At 41.0% G+C, this 16,189-nt stretch overlaps 1 protein-coding gene across 3 annotated transcripts in view, besides 1 other annotated feature; it reads right to left on the bottom strand.

Annotated features, from left to right (window-relative positions):
- Window positions 1-16,189, bottom strand: part of CHIC1 (cysteine rich hydrophobic domain 1) — a 123,964-nt gene that overhangs the window by 6,589 nt on the left and 101,186 nt on the right. For 2 of the 3 annotated variants that reach the window (NM_001039840.4, XM_017029583.2), the window contains 2 exons: window positions 1,141-1,197; window positions 810-869 (listed from right to left, as the gene is read on the bottom strand). In NM_001039840.4, the coding sequence (NP_001034929.2) occupies window positions 810-869; window positions 1,141-1,197 (117 nt within the window). The remainder of the gene's footprint in view (window positions 1-809; window positions 870-1,140; window positions 1,198-16,189) is intronic. The other variant, NM_001300884.1, reaches the window with a different exon arrangement.
- Window positions 8,442-8,617: a silencer, noted in NCBI's record as "fragment chrX:72891741-72891916 (GRCh37/hg19 assembly coordinates)". NCBI's record gives its function as "represses an EF-1alpha promoter that drives an FKBP-Casp9 reporter gene in an ReSE screen in HepG2 liver carcinoma cells {active_cell/tissue: HepG2}" and the evidence as "EXISTENCE:reporter gene assay evidence [ECO:0000049][PMID:32094911]".

The following is a 16,189-nucleotide window of genomic DNA, read 5'->3' as shown; positions in this document are numbered from 1 at the left end:
ACTATCGTTCACAAGTTGTGAAAAATTAATGTGCCCAAATGGATTGAGTAAAACATATTAATTACAAAAGGTTTGAAAACATAATTTTAAAAAACTCGGATATTTTTGAATGTTTTATCTATAATGAATTTTAGACTTGTGGTCATATGCATATTTTCCCCAAAATTATTCAAAGTGTAGAGAGATACCATAATAATCCTTACTTATGAAACACACATGGAATGTTTATTATTAAATATGTACTACATATTGGAAGTTTGGATAAATGTAATATTTTCAATGTTAATTATGCTAAATTGATCACATTGGCTATATGTGAATTTATGTCTTATGACTAAGATTGTATAGCTTTCAGTTAAAACAAAAATTAGAACCTACAGTTTCTTCACTAAAAGTTAAATGTCAGCCAAAAAAAAAAAAAAAAGCCAGTAATAGGAATCCAGAATGCAGATATCAACTCCTATTTTATGCAAGTTTTGACAAGATTACATTTAGAAATATTTGTTCAACAGCAGCTTTCCCCACCACCACATGCTATGGTTTGTGCCTATGTTAAATGATTAAGGTTGTACAATGTTTTCATTTTAGCATACTAACTGAAACTTTTCTAAGATCCAAATGATTGTTAGCTTTCAAGATATTTTAGGTTGGCTACAAATCTAAAGAAGATAGAAGAAAACCTCTATATTTCAATGGACAAAAGTTCTGGCTGAGGAGAAAAAAGAAGGAATAGTTGACAAATGATAAACACAGGAAAATGGTACATTTAGAATGAATAAAAAAATAATTAAAAACAACCTCATACTTACATACTCCATCATATTGCTAGTTTCACATTTCCTCTTAGTCAACTTCCAGTGCAAAGCAAGCTAAGAAAGTATAGTCTTGTTAAGAATTTTTATATTAACTTAAACTAATTACAACCTATACATTTGAATAAATCACTGAAAACAATCCAGGAAAAGTACAGGATACAAAACAGAGCACTTAAAAATACCTTGTAAAGAATATATATTAAAAATTGAGTATTAATTCTCTAATCCATTCCTTTGTGGCCTAAAAATTCCCATTTTGTATTTATTTTTCAATTTAATGCTGCAAATATATGAATGGGGCACTTATGTGCTTAAAATTTCTTACCTTGTGATATAATCTGTTATTTTCCCATTCTATTAACTTCTGAATTGATCTTCTGGTCTAAGAAAAATGATCAAGACTTTGTTACAAGATGACCTGAAGAGCTTTGTAAACTATGTGCATCTATATTTTTCTGCCTACTTGTAACATCCCATTACTATCTCCTTGTTTTTCTATTAGAAATGAGAAATAAGCAATATCAGTGGCAGAAAATGCTAAAAAGGAGTAAGATTTGGATGACTATTATAATAAGATTATCTACCTATCAATCAATCAATCAGATTTTTATATATGCTTTCTAAAATGAAATATGTATGAATTTCTTTGTGTTGTGAGGCCATCCACTGGACTACTGTGAAAACCTAAACTATATACTAAGTTGAGATTTTAGTAGTCCATTTATGAATTTAATCTAGATTTTCACATAACTGTCTTAGGATTACTTTAAATAATCATCTAATGCCAAGCTAATCTAATTTCTCATGGAAAGTTTTCCTACCACAGCTCCTGGCACAATACCTGTCATATAGCATTCAGTCAAGGTCTATAGGCTGAATAAAGAAAGCCAACATATATCAGAATTTCCACTGAAAAGAACATGTTAAAAACAGCCAGTGGAAAAACTTATACTTAGAAAAATATAAATCAGAGAAGCAGTAATGTAGCAAAGAGGGGGACAGAGACTGAGTTTCTTCATTTAGAATCTGTATATTTTGTAAGGAGTACATAATGTTAAAAAAGCTTTTCAAAACATTAAAATAAAAGATGAAACCTACCTAGCCCATCATGGACATTGCCAACACCAGTGTGCCCTACCTGAGAACTAATGGACCCACCCACTGGCCCACTGCAGACACTGCCAGCACCTACGTCCTCCCCCCAGGACCCCAGGGACTATCTGGCCTGGGAGCCTGAAGAGCAAACTTCTTGGCCCACTGGGACCTGCATGCCCTGAGGGAGGGCCTGAGGACTGGCCCACCCAGGGCCTGCTGCCACCACTTTTTACACCTGCATGGCCCACCCATGGTCCAAAGACTGACATACTCAGGGCAAGCCAATGTCAGTGCCCACATGCACTATCTAGGGGATTGAGGACCAGTCTACCTGGCACTGCTGTCCCAAACAAAGCCTTACCACAGCCTCCACAATCAACTGCAGCCTGAGCCACTAAGGAACTCAAAGACACTGCTGAAACTGATTACAGCTGAAGTAATCTAAGGAGATTACACTGTGCTGCCCATGCAGAACCAAAGCCAAAGCACCCTACCCAACCAAAATTATAGATACATCTACAGGAAAAACTCGTTCTCTATGGGAGCTATTCCATACAAATGAATGAAGTGGCAATTATAGCAGATGTGGATATCAATGTAAGGACAAAAAAAAAAAAAAAACAACCTCCAAAAGGACACAATAATTTTCCAGCAACAGACTCCAAAGAAAATTAAATTTATGAAATTCCTGAAAAAGGCATTAAAAATGATCTTAAGAAAATTGAGAGGGAGGAGCCAAGATGGCCGAATAGAAACAGCTCTGGTCTACAGCTCCCAGTGTGAGCGACGCAGAAGACGGGTGATTTCTGCATTTCCAACTAAGGTACCGGGTTCATCTCACTGGGGAGGGCCAGAAAGTAGGTGCAGGACAGTGGGTGCAGCGCACCGTGTGCGAGCCGAAGCAGGGCGAGGCATCACCTCACTCGGGAAGCACAAGGGGTCAGGGAATTCCCTTTCCTAGTCAAAGAAAGGGGTGACAGATGGCACCTGGAAAATCGGGTCACTCCCACCCAAATACTGCGCTTTTCCAACGGGCTTAAAAAACAGCACACCAGGAGATTATATCCTGCACCTGGCTCGGAGGGTCCTAGGCCCACAGGGTCTCACACATTGCTAGCACAGCAGTCCGAGATCAAACTGTAAGGTGGCAGTGAGGCTGGGGGAGGGGTGCCTGCCATTGCTGAGTTAGTTGTTTGATTAGGTAAACAAAGCAGCCGGGAAGCTTGAACTGGGTGGAGCCCACCACAGCTCAAGGAGGCCTGCCTGCCTCTGTGGGCTCCACCTCTGGGGGCAGGGCACAGACAAACAAAAAGACAGCAGTAACCTCTGCAGACTTAAATGTCCCTCTCTGACAGCTTTGAAGAGAGTAGTGGTTCTCCCAGCACGCAGCTTAAGATCTGAGAACAGGCAGACAGCCTCCTCAAGTGGGTCCCTGACCCCCGAGTAGCCTAACTGGGAGGCACACCCCAGTAGGGGCGAACTGACACCTCACAGGGCCGGGTACTCCTCTGAGACAAAACTTCCAGAGGAACGATCAGGCAGCAGCACTTGCAGTTCACCAACATCCGCTGTTCTGCAGCCACCCCTGCTGATACCCAGGCAAACAGGGTCTGGAGTGGAACTCTAGCAAACTCCAACAGACCTGCAGCTCAGGGTCCTATCTGTTAGAAGGAAAACTAACAAACAGAAAGGACATCCACACCAAAAACCCATCTGTACGTGACCATCATCAAAGACCAAAGGTAGATAAAACCACAAAGACGGGAAAAAAACAGAGCAGAAGAACTGGAAACTGTAAAAATCAGAGCACCTCTCCTTCTCCAAAGGAACGCAGCTCCTCACCAGCAATGGCACAAAGCTGAACAGAGAATGACTTTGACAAGTTGAGAGAAGAAGGCTTCAAATGATCAAACTACTCTGAGTTACCGGAGGAAATTCGAACCAATGGCAAAGAAGTTAAAAGCTTTGAAAAAAAATTAGAAAAATGGATAACTAGAATAACCAATGCAGAGAAGTCCTTAAAGGACCTGATGGAGCTGAAAACCAAGGCACGAGAGCTACGTGACGAATGCAGAAGCCTCACTAGCCGATGAGATCAACTGGAAGAAAGGGTATCAGTGATGGAAGACGAAATGAATGAAATGAGGCGAGAAGAGAAGTTCAGAGAAAAAAGAATAAAAAGAAACGAAGAAAGCCTCCAAAAAATATGGGACTATGTGAAAAGACCAAATCTACGTCTGATTGGTGTACCTGAAAGTGACAGGGAGAATGGATCCAAGTTGGAAAACACTCTCCAGGATATTCTCCAGGAGAACTTCTCCAATCTAGCAAGGTAGGCCAACATTCAAATTCAGGAAATACAGAGAATGCCACAAAGATACTCCTCGAGAAGAGCAACTCCAAGACACATAATTGTCAGATTCACCAAAGTTGAAACGAAGGAAAAAATGTTAAGGGCAGCCAGAGAGAAAGGTCTGGTTACCCACAAAGGGAAGCCCATCAGACTAACAGCAGATCTCTCGGCAGAAACTCTACAAGCCAGAAGAGAGTGGGGGCCAATATTCAGCATTCTTAAAGAAAAGAATTTTCAACCCAGAATTTCATATCTAGCCAAACTGAGCTTCATAAGTGAAGGAGAAATAAAATCCTTTACAGACAAGCAAATGCTGAGAGATTTTGTCACCACCAGGCCTGCCCTAAAAGAGCTCCTGATGGAAGCACTAAACATGGAAAGGAACAACCGGTACCAGCCACTGCAAAAACATGCCAAATTGTAAAGACCATTGAGGCTAGGAAGAAACTGCATCAACTAACGAGCAAAATAACCAGCTAACATCATAACGACAGGATCAAATTCACACATAACAATATTAACCTTAAATGTAAACGGGCTAAATGCTCCAATTAAAAGACACAGACTGGCAAATTGGATAAAGAGTCAAGACTCGTCAGTGTGCTGTATTCAGGAAACCCATTTCATGTGCAGAGACACAGATAGGCTCAAAATAAAGGGATGGAGGAAGATCTACCAAGCAAATGGAAAACAAAAAAAGGCAGGGTTTGCAATCCTAGTCTCTGATAAAACAGACTTTAAACCAACAAAGATCAAAAGAGACAAAGAAGGCCATTACATTATGGGAAAGGGATCAATTCAACAAGAAGAGCTAACTATCCTAAATATATATGCATCCAATACAGGAGCACCCAGATTCATAAATCAAGTCCTTAGTGACCTACAAAGAGATTTAGACTCCCAGACAATAATAATGGGAGACTTTAACACCCCAATGTCAACATTAGACAGATCAACGAGACAGAAAGTTAACAACGATACCCAGGAATTGAACTCAGCTCTGCACCAAGTGGACCTAATAGATATCTATAGAATTCTCCACCCCAAATCAACAGAATATACATTCTTTTCAGCACCACACCACACCTACTCCAAAACTGACCACACGGAAGTAAAGCACTCCTCAGCAAATGTAAAAGAATAGAAATTATAACAAACTGTCTCTCAGACCACAGTGCAATCAAACTAGAACTCAGGATTAAGAAACTCACTCAAAACTGCTCAACTACATGGAAACTGAACAACCTGCTCCTGAATGACTACTGGGTAAATAATGAAATGAAGGCAGAAATAAAGATGTTCTTTGAAACCAAGGAGAACAAAGACACAACATACCAGAATCTCTGGGACACATTCAAAGCAGTGTGTAGAGGGAAATTTATAGCACTAAATGCCCACAAGAGAAAGCAGGAAAGATCCAAAATTGACACCCTAACATCACAATTAAAAGAACTAGAAAAGCAAGAGCAAACACATTCAAAAGCTAGCAGAAGGCAAGAAATAAATAAGATCAGAGCAGAACTGAAGGAAATAGAGACACAAAAAACCCTTCAAAAAAATCAATGAATCCAGGAGCTGGTTTTCTGAAAAGATCAACAAAATTGATAGACCGCTAGAAAGACTAATAAAAAAGAAAAGAGAGAAGAATCAAACAGATGCAATAAAAAATGATAAAGGGGATATCACCACCGATCCCACAGAAACACAAACTACCATCAGAGAATACTATAAACAGCTCTACACAAATAAACTAGAAAATCTAGAAGAAAGGGATAAATTCCTGGACACATACACCCTCCCAAGACTAAACCAGGAAGAAGTTGAATCTCTGAATAGACAAATAACAGGATCTGACATTGAGGCAATAATCAATAGCTTACCAACCAAAAAAAGTCCAGGACCAGATGGATTCACAGCTGAATTCTACCAGAGGTAGAAAGAGGAGCTGGTACCATTCCTTCTGAAACTATTCCAATCAATAGAAAAAGAGGGAATCTGCCCTAAGTCATTTTATGAGGCCAGCATCATCCTGATACCAAAGCCTGGCAGAGACACAACCAAAAAAGAGAATTTTAGAACATCGATGCAAAAATCCTCAGTAAAATACTGGCAAACCGAATCCAGCAGCACATCAAAAAGCTTATCCACCATGATCAAGTCGGCTTCTTCCCTGGGATGCAAGGCTGGTTCAACATATGCAAATCAATAAATGTAATCCAGCATATAAACAGAACAAAAGACAAAAACTACATGATTATCGCAATAGATGCAGAAAAGGCCTTTGACAAAATTCAACAACCCTTCATGCTAAAAACTCTCAATAAATTAGGTATTGATGGGACATATCTCAAAACAGTAAGAGCTATCTATGACAAACCCACAACCAAAATCATACTGAATGGGCAAAAACTGGAAGCATTCCCTTTGAAAATGGGCAGAAGACAGGGATGCCCTCTCTCACTATTCCTATTCAACATAGTGTTGGAAGTTCTGGCCAGGGCAATTAGTCAGGAGAAGGAAATAAAGGGTATTCAATTAGGAAAAGAGGAAGTCAAATTGTCCCTGTTTGCAGATGACATGATTGTATATCTAGAAAACCACATCGTCTCAGCCCAAAATCTCCTCAAGCTGATAAGCAACTTCAGCAAAATCTCAGGATACAAAATCAATGTACAAAAATCACAAGCATTCTTATACAACAATAATAGACAAACAGAGAGCCAAATCATGAGTAAACTCCCATTCACAATTGCTTCAAAGAGAATAAAATACCTAGGAATCCAACTTACAAGGGAAGTGAAGGACCTCTTCAAGGAGACCTATAAACCACTGCTCAATGAAATAAAAGAGGAAACAAACAAATGGAAGAACATTCCATGCTCATGGGTAGGAAGAATCAGTATCGTGAAAATGGCCATACTGCCCAAGGTAATTTATAGATTCAATGCCATCCCCATCAAGTTACCAAGGACTTTCTTCACAGAATTGGAAAAAACTACTTTAAAGTTCATATGGAACCAAAAAAGAGCCCGCATCGCCAAGTCAATCCTAAGCCAAAAGAACAAAGCTGGAGGCATCATGCTACCTGACTTCAAACTATACTACAAGGCTACAGTAACCAAAACAGCATGGTACTGGTAACAAAACAGATATAGATCAATGGAACAGAACAGAGCCCTCAGAAATAATGCCGCACATCTCCAACTATCTGAGAAAAACAAACAATGGGGAAAGGATTTCCTATTTAATAAATGGTGCTGGGAAAACTGGCTAGCCATATGTAGAAAGCTGAAACTGGATGCCTTCCTTACACCTTATACAAAAATTAATTCAAGATGGATTAAAGACTTACATGTTAGACCTAAAACCATAGAAACCCTAGAAGAAAACCTAGGGAATACCATTCAGGACATAGGCATGGGCAAGGACTTCATGTCTAAAACACCAAAAGCAATGGCAACAAAAGCCAAAATTGACAAATGGGATCTAATTAAACTAAAGAGCTTCTGCACAGCAAAAGAAACTACAATCAGAGTGAACAGGCAACCTACAGAATGGGAGAAAATTTTTGCAACCTACTCATCTGACAAAGGGCTAATATCCAGAATCTACATTGAACTCAAACAAATTTACAAGAAAAAACAAACCACATCAAAAAGTGGGCGAAGGACATGAACAGACACTTCTCAAAAGAAGACATTTATGCAGCCAAAAAACACTTGAAAAAATGCTCATCATCACTGGCCATCAGAGAAATGCAAATCAAAACCACAATGAGATGCTATCTCACACCAGTTAGAATGGTGATCATTAAAAAGTCAGGAAACAACAGGTGCTGGAGAGGATGTGGAGAAATAGGAACACTTTTACACTGTTGGTGGGACTGTAAACTAGTTCAACCATTGTGGAAGTCAGTGTGGCGATTCCTCAGGGATCTAGAACTAGAAATACCATTTGACCCAGCCTTCCCATTACTGGGTATATACCCAAAGGATTATAAATCATGCTGCTATAAAGACACATGCACACGTATGTTTATAGTGGCACTATTCACAATAGCAAAGACTTGGAACCAACCCAAATGTCCAACAACAATAGACTGGATTAAGAAAATGTGGCACATATACACCATGGAATACTATGCAGCCATAAAAAATGATGAGTTCATGTCCTATGTAGGGACATGGATGAACCAGAAACCATCATTCTCAGCAAACTATCGCAAGGAGAAAAAACCAAACACCGCATGTTCTCACTCATAGGTGGGAACTGAACAATGAGAACACATGGACATAGGAAGGGGAACATCACACACCGGGGACTGTTGTGGGGTGTGGGAGCGGGGAGGGATAGCATTAGGAGATATACCTAAAGGTAAATGATGAGTTAATGGGTGCAGCACACCAACATGGCACATGTATACATATGTAACAAACCTGCATGTTGTGCACATGTACCATAAAACTTAAAGTACAATAATAATAAAATTAAAAAAAAAAGAACAAGCACAAAAAAATAAAAATAAATAAATACTAATAGAAAAAGGAAACTGAGATATAAGATAACAAACAAGATTTAAAACTCAGGAAAGCAATTAAAAATCTAGATGAGAAATCCAACAAAGATATCATTAAAAAGAACAAAACAGAAATTCTAGAACTGAAGAATTCAATGAATGACGTTAAAGATACAATAGAGAGCTTCAACAATAGACTAGATAAGCAAAATACAATTTCTGAACTTGAAGACAAATCTTTTGAAATAACCTAGGCAGGAAAAACAAGATAAAAGGAAAAAGAATAAAGAAAGCCTTTGTGACACCATCAAGCAAACAAATTTTTGACGTGTGGGAGTTCTAGAAGAGAAGAGATGGATAAAAATCGTATTCAATGAAATAATAACTGAAAACTTCCCAAGTCTTGGGAGAGATATAGACATCCAAATACAGAAAGCTCAAAGACTCCAAAAGAGATTCAACTGAAAAGGTCGTCTTCAAGGCACATCATAGTCAAACTGTCAAAGTCAGAATCAGAATTCTAAAAACAGCAAGAGAAATGCAGCAAGTCACATATAAGGGAATTCACATCAACTAACAGGAGATTTCTCAGCAGAAACCTTGCAGGCCAGGAGAGACTAGGCAGATCATCTGAACAGAGAAACATCATGAGACTTAAACTGCACTATAAAACTGCACTTAAAAAACAAACATCAGACTTAAACTGCACTATAGACCAAATAGACCTAATAGACATTTACAAAACATTTCATCCAACAATTGCAGGATACACATTCTTCTCATCAGCACATGGAACATTTTCCATGACAAAAAACATGTTAAGTAAAAAACTGTCTCAAATGTAAGAAAATCAAAATCATATCAAGTATCTTCTCAGACCACCACAGAATAAAACCAGAAATCAATAACAGGAGGAAATTTGGAAACTGTACCAATACATGGAAATTAAATAATGTGCTCCTGAAAGACCACTAGGTCAATAAAGAAATTAAGGAGAAAATAAAGTTTCCAAAAACAAATAAAAAGGAAAAACATACCAAAACCTGTAAGATACAGCAAAAGCAATACTAAGAAGTTTATAGCAATAAATGCCTACATCAAAACAGTAGATTTGAAAGAAAGAATATGAGATAGAAAGAAATATAAGAATAGAAGAAAGAATATAATGATGCACCTCAAGGAACTAGAAAAGCAAGAACCAACCAAACCTAAAATTAGTCTACTAATTTTAGTAGAAAAAATAATATAGATCAAAGCAGAAAAAAATAGAGACTAAAAAATATGAAAGATAAATGAAAGAAAAAGTTGGTTCTTAAAAAGATAAAGTAGACAAACCATCAGCTAGACTAAGAGAAAAAGAGAAAAGCCAAATAAAGGGGAGGGCCAAGATGGCCGATTAGAAGCAGCTGTGGTCCACCACTCTCAAGGAGAGGAATGAAAGGGGTGAGTGAATATAGCACCTTCAACCGAAATATCTAGGTTCTCACGTTGGGACTGATTAGAGAAATAACTCGACACACAGAGAACAAAAGCAGGGTGGGGCAATGGCCCACCTGGGAGTGACATGGAGCCAAGAGAAACCCCACCCCCAGCCAAAGGAAACAGTGAGTGACTGTGTGACCCTGGGAAACCATGCTTCTCTCACGGCTCTTTGCAACCCACAGGTCAGGAGATCTCCTTGTGAGCCCATGCCACCAGAGTCTTGGGTCCGACACAGAGCTGTATGGAGTCTTGCAGAGTGGCTGCTCTGGCATGCACAAAGACCCAAGAGCTTTGCATACTCTGACCCGGAGATCCCCAATGAATGTGTCTGCAACTCAGGCAAGACAGGAGGTCTGCATATATGCCTAGGAAGGGGGTAGAGTCCAGGGAGCTGAGCAGCATGTTCTGCAGGCCCCATTTCCACCTCACTTCACAAGATAATAACCACTGGCTTGGAATCCTAGTCAGCCTCAGGCAACAGGGAGAGGGATAGGTGCCATCTCTGCCATTTGGTCGACTCAGCTGTTCTAGCCTGTGGGCTTTGTAGAGTCCAAATGGTCTGGAGGAGAAAGGGGCTCCCCAGCAACGCAGCACAGTGGCTTGGCCAGATTGTCACCAGACTGCTTCTTTAAGTGGGACCAAATCCATTCTTCCACACTGGGCAGGACCTCCCAGGCGGATCCTCCAGCCACGCCTGCAGGCAACTATTAGGGATAGAGCTCTGATCTCTCCCTGAGACATAGTGTGGTGGGGGGTGGGCAGGGGGTGGAGGAGGAGGGTCACCACCTGGGTTGATTGGACAGCTCAGCAGTTCCACCATGTGGGCTTAGAGAGTCCAAACAATTCAGATGAGGAAGGGTCCCCCTGAGTAATGCAACATAGTGGCTTTGCCAGATTGTAGCCAGACTGCTTCTTTAAGCAGGGCACTGATCCATTCCTCCTCACTGGGCAGAACCTCCCAGCAGGACCTTTCAGCCATGCCTGCTGGAACCTATTAGGGACAGAGCTCTGATCTCTCCCTGGGATGGAGTGCCTGGGAGAGAGGAAAGCCACCACTTGGGTTGGTTGGTCACTCAGCTGTTCCAGCCTGCTAGCTTTGGACAGTCCAAGCACACAGGGGCAGACGTGATTCCCCACTATGACACAGCTGTTCTGTTAAGGCATGACCAGACTGCTTCTTTAAGTGGGACCCTGATCCACTCCTCCTCCTGAGGTGCGTCCTCCCAGCTGGAACTTCTGGCCACCCCTCCCCACCTCTCCCTGGGATGGAATGCCTGAGGGGCGAGGCAGGCTGCCAACTTGGCTGTTTGGGCTTATCAGCTGGTCTAGCCTGTGGGCCTTGAAAAGCCCAAACTGATCGGGGGCTGAAGGGATCACCAACACAGCACAGCTGCTCTGCCAAAATGCAGCCAGAATGCTTAAGTTGGTGCCTGATCTTGTTCCTCCTGACTGGGAGAGACCACCAAACGGGTCTCCAGTCACCTCCTACAGACATGTTCAGGCTGGCAAAAGGTCAGTACTGCCCTGGAATGGAGCTTCCAGAGGAATAGGCTGACTGCCATCTTTTCTGTTTTGCAGTATTCACTAGTGATACCTCCAGGTATGAGAAAACTGAGGCAACTAGGGTCTAGAGCGGACCCCCAGCAAACTGCAGCAGCCCTATGGAACAGAGGCCAGACTGTCAGAAGAAAAACAGAGAGAAAACAACAATAAAAAAACACAAAAACCCCATCCAAATGTCAGCAACCTCAAAAATCAAAGGTAGATAATCCCACAAGGATGAGAAAGAACAAAAAAATGCTAAAAACTAAAAAATCCAGAGTGCCCCTGTTCCTCCAAATGACCACAACACTTCTCCAGCAAGGGCTCAGAACTGGGCTGAGGCTGACATAGCTGAAATGACAGAAGTAGGCTTCAGAAGGTGGGTAATAATGAAATTTGCTGAGCTAAAGGAGCATGTTGTAACCCAATGCCAAGAAGCTAAGAATCATGATAAAACAATACAGGAGCTGACAGCCAAAATAGCCAGTTTAGAGAGGAAAATAACTGACATGTTAGACCTGAAAAATATACAAGAACTTCACAACAGAATCACAAGTATTAATGGCAAAGTAGACCAAACAAAGGAAAGAATGTCACAGCTGGAAGACTATCTTTCTGAAATAAGCCAGGCAGACAACAATACAGATAAAAGAATGAAAAGGAATGAACAAAACCTCTGAGAAATATGGAATTATGTAAAGCGACCAAATCTATGACTGATTGGGGTACCTGAAAGAAACTGGGAGAATGGAACCAAGTTGGAAAACATACTTGAGGATATCATCCAAGAGCACTTCCCCAAACTAGCTAGACAGGCTAACATTCAAATTCAAGAAATGCAGAGAAACCCAGTAAGACACTCCACGAGATCATCCCCAATGCATGATCATCAGATTCTCCAAGGTTGAAATGAGAGAAAAAATGTTAAGGGTAGCCAGAGAGAAAGGCCAAGTCACATACAAGGGGAAGACTAAGAGCAGTCTTCCATGAGACTAAGAGCAGACCTCTCAGTGAAAAACCTTACAAGCCAGAAGAAATCAGGGGCCAATATTCAACATTCTTAAAGAAAAGAATTTCCAACCCCCAAATTCATGTCCGGCCAAACTAAGCTTCATAAGCAAAAGAGAAATAAAATCCTTTTCAGACAAGCAGATGCTGAGGGAATTTGTTACCTCCAGACTTCCCCTGCAAGAGCTCCTGAAGAAAGCACTAAATATGGAAAGGAAAAACTGTCATCAGCCACTACAAAAACATACTTAAGTACATAGACCAGTGACACAATGAAGCAATCACATAAACAAGTTTGCAAAATAATCAGCTAACATCATGATGAAAAAAATCAAATCCATACATAATAACACTAACCTTAAATGTAAATGGCTAAATGCCCCAATTAAAGGACACAGAATGACAAGCTGGATAAAGAACAAAGACATATTGGTATGGTGTCTTCAAAAGACCCATCCTACATGCAAAGACAAAAATATGCTAAAAATAAAGGGATGGAAGAAAATTTACCAAGCAAATGAAAAGCAGAAAAAAGCAGGGGTTGCTATCCTAGTTTCTGAAAAAACAGATTTTAAACCAACAAAGATCAAAAAAGACAAAGGAGGGCATTACATAATGGTAAAGGGTTCAATTCAACAAGAAGAGCTAACTACCTAAATATATATGCAACCAATACACTAGCACCCATATTCATAAAGCAAGTTTTTAGAGACTTTCAAAATGCTTAGACTCCCACACAATAATAGTGAAAGACTTTAACACCCCACTGGCACTATTAGACAGATCATTGAGATAGAAGATTAACAGATATTCAGGACTTAAACTCACCTCTGGATCAAGTGTACCTGATAGATATCTAAGAACTTTCCACCCCCAAAACAACAGAATATACATTTTTCTCATCGCCACATGGTATTTACTCTAAAATTGATCACATAATTGGAAGTAAAACACTCCTCAGCAAATGCAAAGAACAGAAATCATAATAGTCTCTCAGAGCACAGAACAATCAAATTAGAACACAAGATTAAGAAATTCACTCAAAACCACTGTGAGGGTTATTACTGAGTGTCAACTTCGTTGGACTGAAGGATACAAAGTATTGATCCTGGGTGTGACTGTGATGGTGTTGCCAAAAGAGGTTAACATTTGAGTCAGTGGGCTGGGGAAGGCAGATCCACCCTTAATCTGGTGGGCACAATCTAATCAGCTGCCAATAAATATAAAGCAGGCAGAAAAATGTGAAAAGGAGAGACTGGCCTAGCCTCCCAGCCTACATCTTTCTCCCATGCTGGATGCTTCCTACCCTTGAACATTGGACTCCAAGTTCTTCTGTTTTGGGACTTGGACGGTCTTTCCTTCCTCCTCAGCTTGCAGACAGCCTATTGTGGGACCTTGTGATTGTGTAAGTTAATACATAATAAACTCCCCAATACAATCACACAACTGCATTGAAACTGAACAATGTACTCCTAAATGACTCTTGGGTACATAAAGAAATTAAGGCAGATGTAGGAGATTGGTTATGGTGGTGGGAGAAATTATAGGAAAAATGCAAACCTTCTTGGAAGGCCAGGAGGTTTTGCAAAAGCTTCGAAAGATAATTTGGTTGAAGGCAGCCAAATTCTCTTATCCAGAGCCTGAGAGCAAATAGTATATAACAAGGAAGTGTAAAGGAATTGATCTAGATAGGTTAGTTTACTTAGGCCTCAGAACCTGGCCTTTAATCATTTGTTTGCAGGACTGCTCTCTCCAAGGGGGCGACCATGTTAATTACCCACAAGTGTGTTGACTCAAAGCCTTTGTCATTAAATCTGTACTAAATAAATCCCTGCAGCACTGGCTTGTCAGGGCCGTGGCTGTTGGGACTCTTTATGATGCCCTCCTTGGTGTCTGTGGGTGCCCCAGTCCCCTAGCCATGCGACCAGGCAAAAAACCTGTGTCTGCGTACATTTTTTCATCTGTCACTCTGCCAGGGTCTGCTGGTCAGACCCGGCAGCTGGTGCCCTGTGTGAGAAATAGCTGCAATGGGTCGCAATGGAACCCTTGAAAACGAAGATGAAGAGACTGCACAGTCAGTAAGTCACTGGTGCCTGCTTGGGGTTTGCAAGTTTGAGGACGTTGTTCAGGCTAGGGTTTCATCATGGGACAACAGTTATCAGCTCAACAGCAACAGTATATAAAAGTATTGAAACAGCTGCTTAAAGCTAGTGGAGCCTCGGTTTTGCAGGCTCAATTAAGGAACCTAATGCAAACTTTTGTTTCCCATAACCCATGATTCCTGGAAGAAGGTATGGTAGATGTAGAGCTCTGGGAACAAGTGAAGAGAAATCTTCAAGAACATCATGTACAAGGGCAATGGGTCCCAGTAACATCTCTAACAGTATGGGCTTTAGTAAGGGCTGCTTTGGTCCCACTATACACAGAAGAGCCTAAAAGGGGGAGGGAAGAGGAACCATCACCTACCTTTCCACCTCCACCTCCCTCAGCCTTGCCGTTTCTGGGCAAAAATAACAAAGAGGAAACGGAGGTTTTGCCTGAGCCCCGTCCTCCAATAAATTGGAAAAAAGACAAGGGATACACTGCAGCTATGGGACCCTGTCTTAGGCAAGTGGCATTAGAAGGGGAGCTCTTGGCCTGCCTGTTAATGCAAAATTGACAAGGCAATCAGGTATATGAACCCATTTCTTTTAACGTTTATAAAAAGATAAAAAGCATTAAAGCAAATGGAGTTGCTAGCCCATTTACGAAAGGAATAATTGAAGCCATGGCAGACAACTTCTGTATGACCCCATGGGACTAGTCAGTGCTAACTAAAACAACTTTGGAGCCCAGCCAATACCTCCTCTGGAGGGCAGAATATGATGAGTTGTGCGAACAACAAGCCAACCAGAATCAAGTGGCCAGGCGAGACACAACCACTGCTATGCTCTAGGGGAGGGGGTCCCCATTCGATGAACAACAACAACTAAATTTTGATCCCCAGGTCTATACACAAGTGTCTTTGTGTGATCTCAGGGCTTGGGACTGAATTCCCCAAAGTGGAGTTCAACAGGGATCTTTTGTAAATGTTCGACAAGGGCCTCAGGAGCCATTTGTTGAATTTATCAATTGGTTAACCCAGGCAATTAAGAGACAAATTAGTCACACCCAGGCCACTGGTATCTTATTGTTGCAACTGGCTTATGAAAATGCTAACATCAACTGCCAGCAAGCAAGGCAGGCAATCAGAGGAAAGGCAGCCACAGTTGGGGAACTTATACGAGCATGTCAACTGGTGGGGACTAAAACACACAAAGCCAAAATATTGGCTATGGCATTAAGGCCTCCTGAAGTGAAAAGTGAGAGGAACCCAAATTGTTTTCTACGTGGAGAGCC

This window comes from Homo sapiens, chromosome X, assembly GCF_000001405.40.
Source record: "Homo sapiens chromosome X, GRCh38.p14 Primary Assembly".
NCBI classification, from domain to species: domain Eukaryota; kingdom Metazoa; phylum Chordata; class Mammalia; order Primates; family Hominidae; genus Homo; species Homo sapiens.
The sequence above is the reverse complement of the archived record's forward strand: the minus strand, read 5'-3'. Positions and strand labels throughout refer to the sequence as shown.